Source organism: Homo sapiens, chromosome 1 (assembly GCF_000001405.40).
Source record: "Homo sapiens chromosome 1, GRCh38.p14 Primary Assembly".
NCBI classification, from domain to species: domain Eukaryota; kingdom Metazoa; phylum Chordata; class Mammalia; order Primates; family Hominidae; genus Homo; species Homo sapiens.
The window spans coordinates 152,651,514-152,669,409 of NC_000001.11; the positions used below are offsets into that span (position 1 = coordinate 152,651,514).

The 17,896-nt window shown below is 41.5% G+C and overlaps 1 protein-coding gene, 1 long non-coding RNA gene and 1 pseudogene across 2 annotated transcripts; all 3 read left to right on the forward strand.

Moving 5' to 3' along the window:
• The first annotated feature begins 3,963 nt into the window (after positions 1 to 3,963).
• Positions 3,964 to 5,291, forward strand: LINC00302 (long intergenic non-protein coding RNA 302). The gene is made up of 2 exons (NR_145430.1): positions 3,964 to 4,034; positions 4,798 to 5,291. It is a non-coding gene; the product is annotated as a long intergenic non-protein coding RNA 302 (long non-coding RNA).
• Positions 4,819 to 4,998, forward strand: LCEP3 (late cornified envelope pseudogene 3; annotated as a pseudogene).
• A 6,575-nt stretch (positions 5,292 to 11,866) lies between the features above and the next one.
• LCE2D (late cornified envelope 2D) lies at positions 11,867 to 13,146 on the forward strand. Its single transcript, NM_178430.4, has 2 exons — positions 11,867 to 11,916; positions 12,572 to 13,146. Exon 2 carries the CDS (start codon positions 12,593 to 12,595, stop codon positions 12,923 to 12,925), a length of 333 nt encoding a protein of 110 aa, NP_848517.1. The 5' UTR covers positions 11,867 to 11,916; positions 12,572 to 12,592; the 3' UTR covers positions 12,926 to 13,146.
• Positions 13,147 to 17,896: the final 4,750 nt, after the last annotated feature.

A 17,896-nucleotide genomic window follows, 5' to 3' on the forward strand; every position in this document is an offset into this window, starting at 1 on the left:
AACAACAAAAATGACAATTGTCAACCAGATATTTACATGCAGCAAATAATTTTCTGTCTTTCAACAATGAAGGTGATATAGAGACATTCTCAGATGGGAGAAAACTAAGGGAATTTAGAACCTGCCCACCTGGACATCCCTAGTACTTCCAGCTCTCTGCATGTATGGGCAAAGTGGCTCCAGAACTCAAGGGCAGCCTAGATACTGATGAAGAGCTGCAGGTACTGGCTGTTGAAGGTGAGAAAACAACAGAAGGTGGGGGTTGGGGTGGGCAGTGTGCACAAGAGCAGTAAAAAGGGACAAGAGATAATCTAGGTAGTACATGCATGTTGACTGCCAAAATTTCCCCTGAAGTATGCTCTTTATATTTTAAGAATCTTAACAGAGGACTTATATTGCTCATTTCCATTCTTCATTTAGACTAACTATGCATACACATCAAAGTTCATTTGTTCACAATTAGTTTTCACTCATATACATTTTTGCTTTATTTATGGTAAAATTTTTCATATTGTGTGCCATCTCATTTTATTTCATTGTTTTCTGGGTATACACATTTATGTTTTCCTCAATTTTAAATATTTAAATTATTTTTTCACTCAGATAACATAATATATATTTGCTTTTATTTTTTCTGAATAAAGATATACGCTTTTCTTCTCCTTTCAAGTCTTCAATAAATCTAGAATTTGCCTGAAGTATTTGGTGATGCCTCCCCTCCCTTGGTTTCCCATGGTAGAGATAGATTGCATTGTTGCCAGTATTCATGCCCTTATGCATTGTGACTTTGCAGTTCCCCTCACTGAGGAGCAAAATATATTTCCTAATCCCTTGACCTCGAGTTTGGCCTTCTGGCTTTCTTTGGTCAATAGAATAACGGAGCAGTGATGGTATCCCATGCCCACAAGGAAAACATGTCCAAGATAGCCTACAGGACCCAAAAGGAGGAATGAAAGACCCGTGGAGCAGAGCTGAACCACCCAGCTGAGCCCAGCCTAGGTCACATTTGACCTCCATCACCCTGAAGACCTGCACTCTCACAAGCTAAATAAATAATTGTTCTATGCATTTTGTTTATTACGTTGTCGTTGTGCACTATAATTGAGGCCATAGTTAACAGATATATTCCTGAACTCTAATCTTAGTCTCATCAACCATAAAAAGCTTTGCAGCGTTCTAGAGACTTCCCACTTAGGTTTTAGCTTATTGTCCTACATATCCCTGAACTTGTCAAATACCTTAGGGGAAAACTAGGTGTGCACTTGAGGGCCCCCATGTCTCTGCTACAGGCTCAGTTGATTTCTTTGTCTCCCAGCTATGTTCTTTCCATGCTTAAAATCTGGATTCTTAGTGTTTTACCTGCCCAGAATTGACAAATACTCTCAGGATTAAAAGTGGTTGCAGAAGTCAGCTCCTCTCCCTGGAGTCTTAGCTCCTCCAGTTCACACTGCTGCAGCACTTCTCTGCTGCCTTCCAAAACACAATTTCTGGTTTAATCTGAGTTTTATAGTTATGTTAGTTAGGAGAACTGGTCTCTCAATAACTATTTCATCTTATCTAATGAGGAAAGTTTGCAAGGGAAGGTATGTTTTGTAATTAGAAAATCTACCAATATAATCAGTGCATTTACAGATTAAAGAAAAAACAAAAAGATCATCTCAATAGATGTAGAAAAAAATTTAACAAACTTTAATACCGTTCTCAATACAGACCTCTGAAAACCTGTAATCAAAGAGAATATTCTTATTCCACTAAACAGTAATTAGCAAAAGTCTGCAGCATGTGTTCAGTCAGCCTTCTTGAACTGGAACTCACAAGTTTAGGTTATTTTTTCTTTTTCTTCATTTTGACTGACACTAGAATTTTATGAAATTTTTTGTTATCAAAAGACATTTTAAAATCTATTAGAGCCAGGCGTGGTGGTATGTGCCTGTAGTCCCAGCTACTCAGGAGGCTGAGGTGGGAGGATTGCTTGAGACCAGGAGTTTGAGACCAGCCTAGGTGACATAACAATATCTCTTAAAAAAGAAAATATATGAGAATAATCGTGCTTCTTCTCCTTGCTTGAGCTACAGATAAGCACTTTAAAAAAAAACATAAAACTGCTTTCATTATATTGCCATTACATTTTTAAAGTCAGATGGACCTTAGACAGAGAAACTGATGCTCACAGAGGTGAAATGACTGATCCCAAGTCACAAATGAAAATGCAGGCAAAGCCAGAGCTAGAGGACTTTTTTTTAAATTCCCAGTCTGCTGTTGGACCCTAAACACTTTGAGCCTTGCACAAAAGCTTGCACTGTCTCCTTGCTACTGATAGAAGGAAGTCAATTAAATAAAAAATTTTCTCCTAATTTTCAACTTCATCTGCTGACTACAACTTGGCTTTTAAATATAGTCTTCCTCCTTCCATTTTTCAGCAATGCAAACCCTCAACTGGAGTCATATAGATCTACTTACTCTGCATTTACTGACTTTAGTTGCACTTTTAAAGTGTGGAATCATGCACGCATCCCTGCTTGAAACATGCTTCTCTATTTTCTCCATCTACCCCAGCAGCTCTCTGTGGACTGATAAACTCTTGTCTGTCAGCTCCAAACCTACCCTTCTGGGCTCTACTTCGTGATGCTGGCCTGGGCTTTGCAACCGTGGTTCTACTTCGCGGGCAGTCCTCTATTAGGTTTTGTCACTAGGGGGCGCAAGAGACGCAGAAGTCAGGAGAGAAAGAAAGGCCTGTAAGTGTCACCCTATAGATTTTTTTTTTTTTTTTTTTTAATCTGGCAGCAGCAGTTGGTTCCTGTTCCCAGTTTTCTCCACACTTCCAGAACTATCCTCTTCTCCTTTCCTCAGAAGCACCGGCCCCACTAGCCAGTGTCCCACCTCAGAAGCTTGGGTTCTCGCTCTGCAGGTCTCTCCTCTAAATTCCTAGGTTTCAAGAAGTCCATCTCCTTTCCCTTGTTCCCTATCCTTAGTGTGGCAATAGCTGTTCCGCGTGATGCTAGAATTCTCCATATTTGCCTTTTCAATCCTCTAACACCTGTTTAATCCAATGCTTATTGTTTCTGTCAAAATAAGGAGTGTTTCTGTTTTCCTGAATGGACACAGACTGATACAAATCTCTAATAGGTTAACATGGAGGAACTGATGGACAAAAAGAATATCCTGAAATAATAATGTACTTATTTCATTTTGCGAACTTGTAACAATTTTACTGGCAGAAAAATGTGACTTATAAAGTGAAAATAGGTCTATATAGTTCAAAAGCAATTGTACCTGACGTTTTAAGAAATCGTAGATATTTATACTATTTCTTGCTAGCAGAAAGTCATTGAAATGTCAAATGTTTAAGTAAAATGTAAGAGTAAAACATAGTTTCTTAAAATTGGGAAGACTTTGTGAAGGGAAAGAGTGTAAGTATCCAGTTCTTACAGAAGAACTTTGATAGACAGGGAGAACACCGACATTCAATGAATGCAATAGGATCCCTTATTTTGAAAAAACATTTAAAAAAAGAATCCTCTTTAAAAAGTTACAGTTAATATATGTTTTTGAAAAGAGAAAGAGAGTGAGAAGCTGGATCACAGACTGAATTAGGAAGAAAGGAAACTTATTTATTTATTTCCAAGAAGGAACAGGACCATAGAGTCTTGAGAAACCAGATTCTTGTCTCAAGGGTCAGGAATCCTATGCCGCTTTATGGAGTCCCAGCCTAGGAAATAATATACTTTGATGAGATTTCGTTCTCTAGCTTCAGAAGAGTAACTCAGTATCTCCCTGGGAAGGATGGATTGAAGAGACAGGGAGGGAAATGTCAGGAATTACCCTGCAGATGCCCCAGTATGGGAGGAACCACTTCCTGCTCCACCCAGAACCATGGCTCACTAAGGCCCAGTCAGGCGAGTGCCTGCCTATAAAATGTGTGTCAGGACCCCGCTTCTCATCTGCCCTGACACCCTGGGGACTGCCTGCTCCACACCTGGGTCTGACCAGGGTGAGTGGATCTTTTGGAACCTAGACAGAGCACAACTGAAAGGGTAAGTAGCTGTTGAAAATCACAGGGGGAAAGGAAAGACAGGAAAAAAGAGGGTAATAGGAGGAGAGATGTTGGCCTAGGAAGATCCAGCCTGGGAATTAAGAGTCCCTGGGAATTAGAGGGATTAGCCAATCCAAATTCTTGCCAATATCTGGCTTCTGGCAACTGAGTCAGCTGGCTGGGGAGGGATTATTCCACGCTATTCACATCTCATAGATCCATTTCTAGATGCTTAGAGAAGATGGCAGAGGCACACAGAGAAAATGGCAATACCCAATATTACCATGAAATGCCAACTGGTATCCTTTCCTCTACCTCAGATATAATTCCCTCCCTCCTTCCCTTCCCCAATCTCTTCCTCCCTCCCTTCTTGGCTACCTTTCTTTTCTCCTTTATTTATTCATTCATATATTATTCCTATATCACCAGCTATTTATTGAGCTCCTACTAATTACCTGGTGTTATTCTAGACATTGGAATATAGAAGTATGCAAAAGAGGGGAGGATAATCCCTGCTCTTGTGGTGCTTCCATTTCAGGGGGAAATCTACATTTATTGGACATCATCTATGTGACAAGAACTGTGCCATATCTTAGAGACAGAGAAATGAACAAGATGGAGGCTTTGGCTTGACTGTGTGTGTGTGGGGGAGGGTGGGGGGTTATGATTTGTTCAATATGTCAGCAGCCCCAGGGTAGATTCCAAAGGAGGAAACAATGATCTAAGATTTAACAAGTCTATAAAACACCTCTATTGGCTTTTAGGTTGACTGAACTCCCACAAAGATGTCCTGCCAGCAAACCCAGCAGCTGTGCCAGCCTCCTCTTAAAGGGCCCACTACCAAGTGCCCCCCAAAATGTCCCCCTAAGAGCCCTCCTAAGGTGCCCTGTTCAAGTCTCTTCCTGCTGTGGGCCTAGCTCTGGGACTGCTGTGGGCCTAGCTTTGGGGCTGCTGTGGCTTCAGCTGATGTTGGCATCAGAGCTCCAGCTATTGCTTTGGGGCTGCTGCTACCAGGACTTTGAGCATCACCTGAGTAACCGAAACACCAACAACCTGCACCAGTCTCATGCATCTCGTTCATCAGTGCCTTTCATACCTTCAAGAGCTCTTGCCTCAGAGCATTGCTATGCCTGAGGTGTGTCTCAGAAGCAGCCATTGGCACAGTGGCTTGGGGCTGGGCTCAAAAATTTGCTCTCTTGAAGTTTGGATGTGATTGCTCTGAACAAGCTGCTTTGCCACAATAAATATTTTCAAGTTTCCTTGCTTCTATTTTTAAATATTTTATGTTTCCATCTACTTACCAATTCCCATTTCTTCTTCCTGAATACACTGCTAAGGTTCCTAACTTTGGATGAATAGAAGAAAAATCAACCCTCCAACATAAATTAACTTTTAAAAATACATAAATGCTTTGTTTTAATAAATAAAATAAGATGAAATAAATAACCTAAAATATGAACACACTGTTGAAATAAATAAATTAAGGATATAATGGTGTATCGGGGAAAATATTACTATAATATGTTCAAAATATTCCTTTAAATAATTGTCTTTTAGGTGACTATGAAAGAAAATGTCCTTGCATATAAAAGACATTGTTTCCTAAATGCTCTTACGATAAAATATGAGATAAATGTATAATTTTGTGCTCAGTCTCTGTGGCGGAGCTAGCTGTTACATAAAAGAGGATTTCTGCAGAGGAATGCCATGGTTTCCCTGAGTCCAAATGAAGGAAGCATATTATCCCCTGCTCTGATTCTTTGTTCCTTCTCATGCACAGGTAAAGCTAATTGAATTAAGCCCTCTTGACAACCACACATCAAAATAGAAGCCCATTTCCAAATGTGCAGTGAGCCGGAGAGGATGCCTATGTGGTTCTTCCTTGTCCTTTTCACTCTTACAGCCTCGGGGTGGGGATGTCTCAAAGACATCCAGCTTACAGTTTCTCCAGCCTACAGACCCTTCTGATTGATGTGGTGGAGAGCTATTAAGCAATCTTAGTACTCACCTCTGTTGGACCTCCAGAATAGTCAGTTAGGAAAGGCCTTGAGAAATAAGGTTAGGTCTCAATGGGAATTCCTAGCAACATTTGAAAACCTGCAGTGGGATAGTTCCACCCACCTGAATGCCTATACAGATGTTCCTCAACTTATGATGGGTTTATGTCCAGATAAACCTATGGCGAGTTGAAAATATCCTAAGCCAAAAACACACTTAATATAACTAACCTACCAAACATCATAGCTTAGCCTAGCCTTCCTTAAACAGGCTTAGAACACTTACATTAGCCAATAGTTGAGCAAGATCATCTGGCAACAGCGTACACCATAGAGTATTGACTGTTTACTCTTGCAACCCCATAGTTGACTGGGAGCTGCAGCAGCATGCCAGGCATCAACACAGACTTTCATTTATAGGATGTATTGCTAGCTTTGGAAAATATCAAAATTCAAAATCCCAAGTATAATTTCTACCGAAATAATAAAGTTGAAAAATCCTAAGTTGAACTTACGATGGTAAGTTGAGAACTATTTATAATTAGTAATTATATATTTTCTTTTATTTGTCAAGCTTCTGTCTCTACATTGAAACACAGTCACAGTGGGGAGAGATTATATTTCCTTCACGTCATGTTGTATCTCCAGAGTTGACCACATAGTCAACAATACTTGCTGAGTGTATGTGAGAGTGAATTAATGAACTCTGATTTTTGAGCTTACTAATGGAGGACAGTCCAGGAAATCCTCAAATTGTTTTCTCTTTAGAGATGTTCTGTTTTTTTTTTTAATTCACCTGATCATATCCTTCTCTCATTTACTCTTGTAAGACCTGCTTAATGATTACCTAATTTGCTCAGCCAGAATCTTTGAAAAATAGTTCCTTGCTCTCGGAAATCCCAAGGCATAGATATGCAGTGATTACAATTATAATATTTAATTAATGTGACCTATTCATCTAACACTGAAATTCTTCTAATTCCAGTGATTAAGAAGATAGAAATACTGGATATAAATGGACATAGGCAGTGAGGGTGTTGGTGTGTGTGTGTAGTGATCATATGTAATTAACATAGTTTTATCCCATGATAGTCTATAAATAGTGCTCTCTGGGTCATGAAAAATGATGGGTTCTGTCTTGGTTTTGATTGAGAAGTAAGTGCATAGATATTGCATAAAACCAGGAGGACTGGAGAGAGGGAGCACAGCATTCAGCTGGGGAGGCCCTTGGTCTTTGCACTTCGCACTTTGGTTCCACAGAGGTATAGTCAGTACAGCACAAACAAGGCTGCTGACACTGCACAGTAGCTGGAGCTGCTTCCCATGCAGGGGTCAGTCACACAGGAAGAACTGGAGGTGAACATGGGCTGTGCACTGGAGTGGCACTGCGGAGGGCCCTTCAAAGGCATTGGCATTGCTGGCGGTGTTTTGTCAAGGTATCTGAGTTTGAAAGTGAATTGAATAATAAGTCAGATAAATTAGAGCCAGGACAGGAATAATTTTGCCCTTTTAAACCTATTCACGGTGTGCTGGCAGACAGTTTATAAAATACATTAGTATCTAATTAGTACCTGTAAAGAAACATATTACCCCAAGTTAAAAGTGTTAGAAGTGACATTCCTGAAAACAGAACTAATGCTAAATCAATGTCAATTTCGGTCTCTCATCATTTCATTTCATATCTACAGACCCAATTCCTACCTACTGTATTTCATGAGCTTTAAGAGGGTATCAGTTGTAAGGGGCACCCTTATTTCATGCATCATAAGGAAAGAGAAAAATGTTGCAAATTCAACTATTACATGCCACCAATCATATGCTATATGCTGATTTAAGGGCTGTTAACAAATGTAAGAAGAGTGTATCATGGAATTGATGAATTAAGATAAGTATAAAACCCATCTTCTTTAGGTCATATAAATATGTATGTAGTTACTAGATGGGCCATTCTTGCTTTGCCCAGAACACCCCTCTGCTGTCCTGCTCCCTATAGCAGGGACCTCTTCTCCTCTCGTATTCCATACTCCTGGTGTTGCTCTTTAGACTCCCACATGGTTCTGTCGAGAGCCAGTTCAATGGCCCCCAGTGGTAAACTCACTCTGGCAACCAGCTAAGGAAAATGGCAGGTCCCAGATGAGGCAAAACAGATGCAGGACAGTGTTAGGAAATCTCTTAAAAGTTATGCTAATATCAAGACCTGAAATGAGTCCCAGTTCTGGCAGGACCACGACACATGAATTCTCCAACAGTTCTCTGCCTGGAGTTCATGGCCCTCTAATGTCTATCACCAAATGTGACTTCAGCAAAGAGCCATTCTGGACCTGGGTTCTCAAGCCCCACTTTCCTGTGAAATCATCTCTTGTTAAAAATTAGGGGATAAAATTGTCCAGAACTTAAAATTAAGCCAAAAAGTAATTTCGGATCAGTCTTTTAAATTTTCACTTCTTCCTAGTAACTAACAACCTTGCCTAAGATTTATAAGACTCTAGATTTTTTTAAAAATAATTGGTGGGATGATTTTGCTTACAATATGTGGTGTTGATTAAGGCCCAGACTCTGTAAAGCTAGATTGAACTTACAGAAGATTTATAACCTCATGGTTTCATTGCCTTTTAAAACTGTAACCAGTATGTATCTAAATTTGCAATCTTGTTTTAGAATTTTTTCCTCTGACTGTATATAATTTGTTGTCTCCAATTCTTTGAACCAGCATTACCATCATGCTGGTTCCCTTATTAACAAGTGAAACAAATCTTTGATATATGTCTGCTATATATTAACATATATAAATATACTTTTAACTTTTTGGAAGTTATAGTTAAATAAACCCTTATCTCTACACTTACTCTTTTGGGAGTGAAAACAGGCCCAAACCAGACAGTGCCAGACAGTATCAACAAGAAGATCAAAAGGACTACAAAGATATAGTAAAGGGAAAATTTGGACTAGTGAATCTATTAAATAAGGTGAGATACATCAAGATACATGGTAAGGCTTTTTCTTGTACTGTGGCTAAAATAAATTTCCAGCATTTCATGGGGAATAATTTTCTGGAATATATGCAGTTTAAGCTCCCAGGGAGACAAATCAAGGAGCTACATGGAGAGACCAGCCTGCAGGATACTGACTTTCCAGATGAGGTGAACTTCAGATGAAATGTCTGAAATCACCCCCAGGCCATTCTTCTTATGACACCTATGTGCTCCTTCATGAGGTCTTGCAATCATGCATTGATCCTGCCAACATTCGTGTGGCAATGGTTTGGCTGGTCCCTGAGGGAACATGGGCAACTTGACACAGGGTCTCCTGGCTCAGAGGGATCACATATGATGGTGTGAGGACTGTGGAGACAGAAGCAAGAATACTTGCAGGCAGGTGTTTCTTCACTGACTTGTGAACCAATTCTCAACATTTTCTGAGTTATAAAGGGACAAAGGGGACATGTTAAAGAGCTGCTTATCTCCCAGTTCTGGTTTCCCAGGGGATCAGATCCCATTAGCTCTTCCATTGCTTATTCAACCACTCAATACAGATGTTCATGTATCTGCATGTTCATTTCACCTGCACTTTTATATGAATACAGCATACACACATACAGTGCACACATGCACACACGCACACACAGGCTTGCCTCCCCTACTTCCTCACTTACAACATTGTTACAAATATCTTTGTCAAAGAGTATGAGGAAGCTGAGGGTGATATCACCATGAAGACAGTGGAATGAACTAACATCTTTTAATCACATTGGGAAATAGTGACTCAGGAGGTTCAGTCCCCAAACGTCATCTTCTTTGGTACCCATGTTTGTCTGCAGTCATCTTCAAAAGGGCCAAAATTCTACAGTCCTTGAGGTCATGGGCTACTTATTATTCACCTCTATATCCGTATGTTTGGACATACATGATCCAAGAATGTTGTAGGCTTTCAAAGAATGCCTTTTGAATTCACTGCCCTGGTCACACTGTTGACTTACTTTATCCTTCAGGTAAAAGCTCCCTGAGAGCAGGAATCAGATCTGATAATAGGATTGGATAACTAGGAGAATAGAATCCCTCAGTTAGAAGCTGACAATGGGAAACTATACTTTCTCCGCATCCTCCCCTCCCCCATAAGTAGGCATTAGGCAATGTGAAGGCGCGGTCTGTTTCTGTTTTAATCAGAGGTGTGAATATTTTTTTCAATTCTAATTTTAACATCTTTATTGAGACGTAATTCACATATTGTATAGTTCACTTGTTTAAAGTGTAAATTCAATGGTTTTCAGTATATTCACAGAGTTGGACAATCACCACCACAATTTTAGAACATTGTCATTACTCCACAAAGAAAACCTGTATTCATTGGCAGTAACTTCCCAATTTCTCCCAGCCCGCTAAAGCACCTGGAAGCCACTGATATTTCTCAGAGGACAGGCATAAACATAAAAGGAGATACAGGGAACAGAATCTCGTCCAGGCTCCCATTCCTCGGATGTCCTGAGTCAGCTCTTCAGGGGTCCAGCCTGGGAGAGGCTGTAACTGGCTAAAGCCTCATCCCCTTTCATTTCCAGAGATTTGCCTACTCTACACATTTCATATAAATAACATCATACAATATGCAGTCTTTTATGACTGGCTTCTTTCACTTAGTGTAATGTTTTCAAGGTTCACACTCAATGTATCTGTTTAAACTAAATGAATAAATGACTGGGTAACTCTGTCTAGTGCAACCCTGAATCAGAACTCTGAATAACTAGACCCCTGGCTGACCCTCTACTTCCTGGTAGGAAAGGAGTTCCCTCTGCATAGGAGCCCCAAGAAATGATGTGTACTTCCCAAGAGAGGTTTCAAATAATCTCAGTGTCTGATTGAATTAAACCCTCTGAGGGTAAGGACTCTATACAGGCAATTAATGACACATAAGACCTGGGCAAGTACCCAACACATGGCATTAGTTTTCTTTGAAACACATATTTATTAAGGGTCTATCAGGCATATAGTGTTGTACCAAGTTTTTTCTTACTTCTTATTTAATATTCAAAACAGCTCAGTGAGATAGGTATATCTGGTTTATAATGGCCATTACATATGAGAACTGATACTCATAGTGAGTATCATAATGACACTCTAGCAATTGTTGATAATTGTTCTAGCTACTTCTATAGGTTACCAAGTTATCATATGCAAGTTTCCTGATTCCGGCAATGGATTCAATACAATTGCTTCGACTAAAGGAAACGTTTAGATTTTAGAGGGAATTGCTTATTCTCAATCATTCTCCTTGCTCTAGGAGACAGAATCAACTCAGATTTAATTCAGTGAAAGCTTGTCATGATGAGTCTGAGGAAAAGCAGAAACTCAGAGGCCGAGAGGAAGGACTGTGAGCCTAGTCAAGGGAGGGATGCCTAGAAAGAGCCAAGGCTGTAGAAGCCCCCTGGGATGGCTGGATGCACAGCAGGACATGGAAGACAAACTGCTCAAGGTGCAGGGAGTCATAATGGAACATTTCCACAAGGTCAGGGAATGCTGTGGCTCAGAGCTGATGTAACCTCAGAGGACAGGAATAAAAAAGATGCAAGGAACAGAACCATGTCCAGGCATGGGTGCCTTGGGTTCCCTAAGTTAACTCTTTAGGGCTCCCACCTGCTGGAGGCTCTGACTGGCTAAAGCCTCTCTAGACCACAGCCCCAGAGAGGAGTCCTAGAAGCTCCCGAGGCCTCTTTGGGTGCAGGGACTAGGAGACAGGAGAATGTCAGGAATGACCCAGCACGTGCCTGGTTGTGCAAGAGCCACCTCCTGCTCTTCCCAGAGCCAAGTCTGAGTCCTATAAAAGACACATCCAGCTTCAGCACCTCATCTGCTCTGACTCCCCAGGGACGTGTCTGTGCTTTTGCATGTGACCAGGGTGAGTGGCAACCTGGGATACCAGAAGGGTATTAGCAAGGTAGAGGGATGGGGAGGATGGAGGTAGGCTGGAGAAAGATAGTTGTGCGCTTGTGTTCTCCCATACTGAGCAGGAATAGGACTCAGTTTGCCTCAAATCTCTAGAAGCTCTGGGACTTGCTGGAGCTCACGTAGAAGGGAATAGCTAACTGTGCCCATCTTTCCCAACTCTGTCTTCAATGACTTCATGTTGGCCATCTTGGGCAGATTTGCACCATGGAAATTGTCAAATGCTTCAGGCCAGGCCCTTTTACCTGGAGTTTTCATGGCTAAACATTTTCCAGAGGATCCCTGGTGTGTCTACAGCACCCATCTGGGCGCTGGGGCTTGTATTAAGAGAACAGGTACTTCATGGAGCTGTGAATACTCTATTCAGGCTTGTGAAGATAGAGCAATCCCAGCTTCCCTCTGAAAGGAAGAATATGAAGCTCATTCTGTTGATTTTTTAATCTATGTACTTTTATCTGGAAGAAAGATTCAAGTTGTTTCTTTCAGGTTACTGATGTGACTGTATTACCTAAATATCATTCTTCTTCTACACATGCATTGATTTTAGAGGAGGCATAATTATGACCTTTGGTTTGAAATATTTAAAGAGTTTCATTATTATCTTTTAGGTTGACTAAACTCCTGCCAGGATGTCTTGCCAGCAAAACCAGCAGCAGTGCCAGCCCCCTCCCAAATGTCCTCCCAAGTGTACCCCAAAATGTCCACCTAAGTGTCCCCCCAAATGCCCACCACAGTGCCCAGCTCCATGTTCCCCTGCAGTCTCTTCCTGCTGTGGTCCCAGCTCTGGGAGCTGCTGTGGTCCCAGCTCTGGGGGCTGCTGCAGCTCTGGGGGTGGTGGCTGCTGCCTGAGCCACCACAGGCCCCGTCTCTTCCACCGGCGCCGGCACCAGAGCCCCGATTGCTGTGAGAGTGAACCTTCTGGGGCCTCTGGCTGCTGCCACAGCTCTGGGGGCTGCTGCTGACCTGGGCTGCAGAAGAGCTCTGGTACTGAATGGTCAAAAACCTGCTACAGCCTGATGCTTAACTATTTCCCCTTCCTTTCATTCCACTCATGGGTGGACAGGGACCACAAAGACTCATGGGGCTTCCCCAGAACTTTGTGCTTGATGGAGCACCCCAGATGGAAGCCTTCTTTTTCTCCTTTACCTCATATTGTAATAAAGCTCTGATTTCTGACTCTTTAAATGTCTTGGTCATACTCTTCTCTTCTGAGATTTCTAATGTCTTCTAACGGTCAGGGCCCCAGAGAAATTCTCTTCATGAGGCAAGGACAGGACATGAGCAAGTGATACATGAAAGGCTGCTCCGAGGAACTGATTACCCCAACTGCAGGGTAGATGGAGCTCCAAGATGATCACCTCTGGCAACGGCAGCTTTGACTTTGTCCCCACTAAGCCAGACATATGTTCTAATTTTCTGTGTATTCCAGACATTGGGAAGGTTGGGAAGCTCTGTAGACTTGTTCTTCTCTAGGGAGAAGAACACATCTCTATGAAGCAAAACTTCCCTGCTGTTCGAATCAATAGTTGAATAAAATGCTTGAAACGAATGTTGAGACCCCTCCTCCTGCAAAGTACAGCCCATGGTCAGTGAACTCCCTTCCCAGGAGGGTGAGTCTGGTTAAGATTCACTTCTTGACTTGCTCTCTCAGACACCTGGCGTCTCTTCCTCTCAGTGTGAAGGGAAAAGGGACACAGCAGGGGGAAATAAGGACTAGTGCTTCTTAGGTTCAGGCTGACAGGTGTCTACATGAAGATGATGGATTCAGTGCAGAGAGATTCTGTCAGAGGTGGAGTCTCTTATTAAGATGTTCATCTGCCTCCTCATCCTTACTGCTGCTAAGACAAACACCCAGCTGTTTAACCAGTCTGAGATTCTGTACTCTCCGCATTTTAAATCACCCACTGCACTGAGTCAGTTTATTTGACTTGATGCTCTTCATTATTTTTTCCAGTCTCATTATTAACTGAATTTTCAAGTCCCTGACCAGTAGTAATTTTGAGCTTCTAAAAATATGTACATTGGCCATTTCTACAAAATTTGTAATATGATTTTAAATTTTCTTTTCAATTTTCAAGAGCTCTTGATATATCATGGATATTAACCTTGATCTGTGTTTATTAAAATATTTAATGCATCAGATTTAATTGAATCCATTTATAATAGCTTTTGCTATGGAAAGATTTTTAGTTTTTATATACTCAAATATGACTTTCTTCGCTTTTATAGCTTCAGGGTTTCCTGAGTTGGTTAAGAAGTTTTCCCTTGTCCTTAGTGTTTACATGTGAGCAGCAAAACAAATGAAAAAACCAAACAGTACAAAATGGAGTGCCAAGCATGGGACCTAAGGTTGCCCGGGGCAGTTGAAGGCTGGCCTACAGAGAGGTGGACACCCAAGTGTGCTTTCAGGGACCTCTGCCTTAAGTAAGAGCAACCCACCGGCCATTCCCTTCCCCAGTGGGCCTGCTATCTGGGCCTCCATGTGCTCCTTTCATAGTGAGCAACTTCCTTTCTCTATCTAACCCTCCATACACAGAATAATTTCCCATCTAACTTTTTTTGTTTTAAATTATGCTTTAAGTTCTGGGATACATGTGCAGAACGTGCAGGTTTGTTACATAGGTATACACGTGCCATGGTGGTTTGCTGCACCCATCAACCTGTCAACTACATTAGGTATCTCTGCTAATGCTATCCCTCCCCTAGCCCCCTACCCACTGACAGGCCCTGGTGTGTGATGTTCCCCTCCATGTGTCCATGTGTTCTCATTTTTCAACTCACACTTATGATTGTGAACATGCAGTGTTTGGTTTTCTGTTCCTGTGTTAGTTTGCTGAGAATAATGGTTTCCAGATTCATCCATGTCCCCCCAAAGGACATGAACTCATCCTTTTTTATGGCTGCATAGTATTCCATGGTGCATATGTGCCATATTTTCTTTATCCATTCTAACATTTGTTTTTAGCTGCATCTTACTTTGTGTTTGGCATGTGTGCAGGTGTGTTAGAAAATTATGTTCGGATGCTATCAGAGGAACTCAAAATTACAGCAATTTAAAAAGGAAAGCAGACTATTTCCACTCACATATGATGAAGTCAGAGGTCAGTGGTCCATGGCTGGTACGGTGGTTCCCTGGAGTCTTCAAAGATGGATACCCCTATGTCTTGTCAATTCATTGTTAGCAGTTGTTTCCTGGGAGGTAGTTGGTGATCTCGAGGTGCCTGATAGAGTTCTGATCTGCAAGGCTGTGCTTCAGGTAGGAAGAAGGAGAAAGGGTGGGTAAAAGGCCCTGACCCCAGTAAAGCCTCTTACCTGAGCTTTCCTAAAGTCCCAACAATTTCCTGAATCTCACTGGCTGCTTGTACATACAAGGGGGATGGAGAAGTGTAAATTTTGATATCTGAACATGATTTGGTTCTGGTCAAAATTTAAAGATATAAGTTAAGAATGAAGGGGGCATGTATGTTGGGCACTATCCAATTAAGTAATTTTCTATACAGTTTGACCTGCTGAGTAAAGACAGCTGGATTGCTGGTTATCTCGAAATAGTGACACAGACTCTCTGAGTGCACTTCAATTACCTCTTAACACAAACATTCAGGAACATCCTGCCCACAGTTCCACCTCCATGGGCTCTGCTGTATGCACTGAGGCAAGCCTGCATGGAAGGTTGATTAGGCAGGGGAATTCCCTGGTGAGGCTGAGGTCTGGAGTGCTGTGGGGAGCTCCCTGCAGACAGGCACAAGACCTGGCTTATGGATGCCTGGGGTAGGCTAAGAGTTACTTCTGCCTGTCTCCCCATCTCTAATCCATCCATCACCCAGCTGTGGGCCAAGAACCAGGGGTCTGGATCATCTCTCAAGGGCAGGAAGAGGGTGAGACTCTGAGAAGTGTGCAAGAAGAAAACATATTTGGTGTTATGGCTTCATCTCTTTCAAAGGTATCTAGAGTTGGAGGGTGACAGATGATTAACTCTGAGTTGGGTTATCTGAAATATGACCCAAGTGAGGATAGTCAACAGTAACCAGAACATATTATGAAAAGGAAAATGTAGATGTATTGTCACCTGGGCCAGAATCCCCACAGAGCACTTTCACCTCCACATCGAGTGAAAATTCTACCTGGTCACTCTCTTGTGTCCCCAAAGGGTCATCCCAGGAAGAGGGAAGAGTAGAAAAGGAGTTTTGGGCCAGGATGGATTCTTGAGTGTGTGGTTATCTCAACTCGGACCCTCTGAGATTTCATAGCAGTGCCCGAGAGCTGCGGCGCTGCTCTCTCACAGACTCCCCAGGCTCTGTCGCTGCTGCTGCAGCAGCTCTGCAGTTAAAGTCAGCTGGCTCTGTGGTGCCCATGCTAACTCCAGGAGCAGCTGCTCCCAGAGTAGGAAGAACAGTATCTCCAGTGCTAAGAAAAACTTGAGACTGAGGGATGAGCATATTGCCAGGCTCTTGGGAGGAAGCCTGCTGCTGGCTCAGTTTTCAGGATATCTCAACATGAGTTAAGCTGAGAGTGAATTCAGCAGTAGACCACATGTGTAAACCTAGAATAAGGATACCTTTGCTTTTTCTAAACAATTATCCCTCTGCTTCTAATTAATTGGCAAAGCCATTAATATTTAGAAAGACATTCCCCGTGTTACCATTTCATGGTTGCTCTTTGGTCTTGCTAGGTCAGATTTCAATCCTAGTCAACCCCCATGCTGGTTGCATTGCTGCAGCTGCACACCTAATTCAGAACTCTGTACAGTAATTGTAGAATTAGGTAATTCTAAACTTTTGTGCTTGTTATAAGATACGTACTCTTATAAGTGTTTTATGTGTAACTCAACCAAAGGATCAATTAATTCACACAATGTTGCTATTAGGTAATTACAGTTATTTTCCACACTTCATAGATGAGAAAACAGAGGTACAGACAACTTTGAGAACATTTCTAGGGTTCTAAGGCAAGTACCTGGTACTCAGAATATAACTCTAGGTGATATAGCTACTTAGTCTGTGATCTGAACCAGTTCTCTGGAGTTAAACTGGAAAGGCCTGCATTATTTACCATGTGTGAAATTGAAACAGCTTATGGTAAGATCTTCTCAACAAGCTAGACTTAAAGCAGCTATCCCCTAATTTTCCTGCCTGGTATACTAATGTTTCTGGGCTAGTTCCCATACTGCACAAAAGAAATCTCGATTTCTCATACCTTTCTCTTCACCCATGTCCCTCTGTCCTTTCTGAAGAATATAGTCACAGTGGGCAGAGATTATATTTCTTTTATATCATGTTGTACTCCAGAGTTTGCTACATAGTCAACAATACATGCTGAGTGTGTGTGAGAGTGATTTTTGAACTCTGAATATTGAACTTACTAATGGAAGACAGTCCCAAAAAATCCTCAGTTTTTTTTTCTCTTTAGTGATGTTCTGTTCTTTTAATTCACCTGATCATATCCTTCTCTCATTTACTCTCATAAGGCTGTCTAATGTTTACCTAATTTGCTCAGTACTGAGTCTTTGGAAATAGTTCCTTGCTCCAGGGAATCCCAAGGCATGGATAGACAGTGATTGCAATTATAATATTTGATTAATGTAACCTATTCATATAACACTAAAATTTTTCTAATTCTAGTGATTAAAATGATATAAATACTGGATACAAATGGGCATAGGCAGTGTGGGCACTGGTGTATGTGTGTGAAGGGATCATATGTAATTAACATAGTTTTATCCCGTGATAACCTATAAATAGTGCTGTCTGGGTCATGAAAAACTATAGGTTCTGTCTTTGTTTTGATTGGGAAGTAAGTGCACAGATATTGCATAAAAGAGAGGTTACATGGACAATGAGTTTGTCAGGAACTTGGTATGAGAGAGAGATTTAGAAAGCATAGTTATAAATAATCTGGAAAATTCATCCCACCAAACAAAATAATTGGCTATCTGG

Bases quoted from the DNA above. Each gene is read 5' to 3' on its own strand.
- LCE2D (NM_178430.4), top strand. From the start codon at position 12,593: ATGTCTTGCCAGCAAAACCAGCAGCAGTGCCAGCCCCCTCCCAAATGT.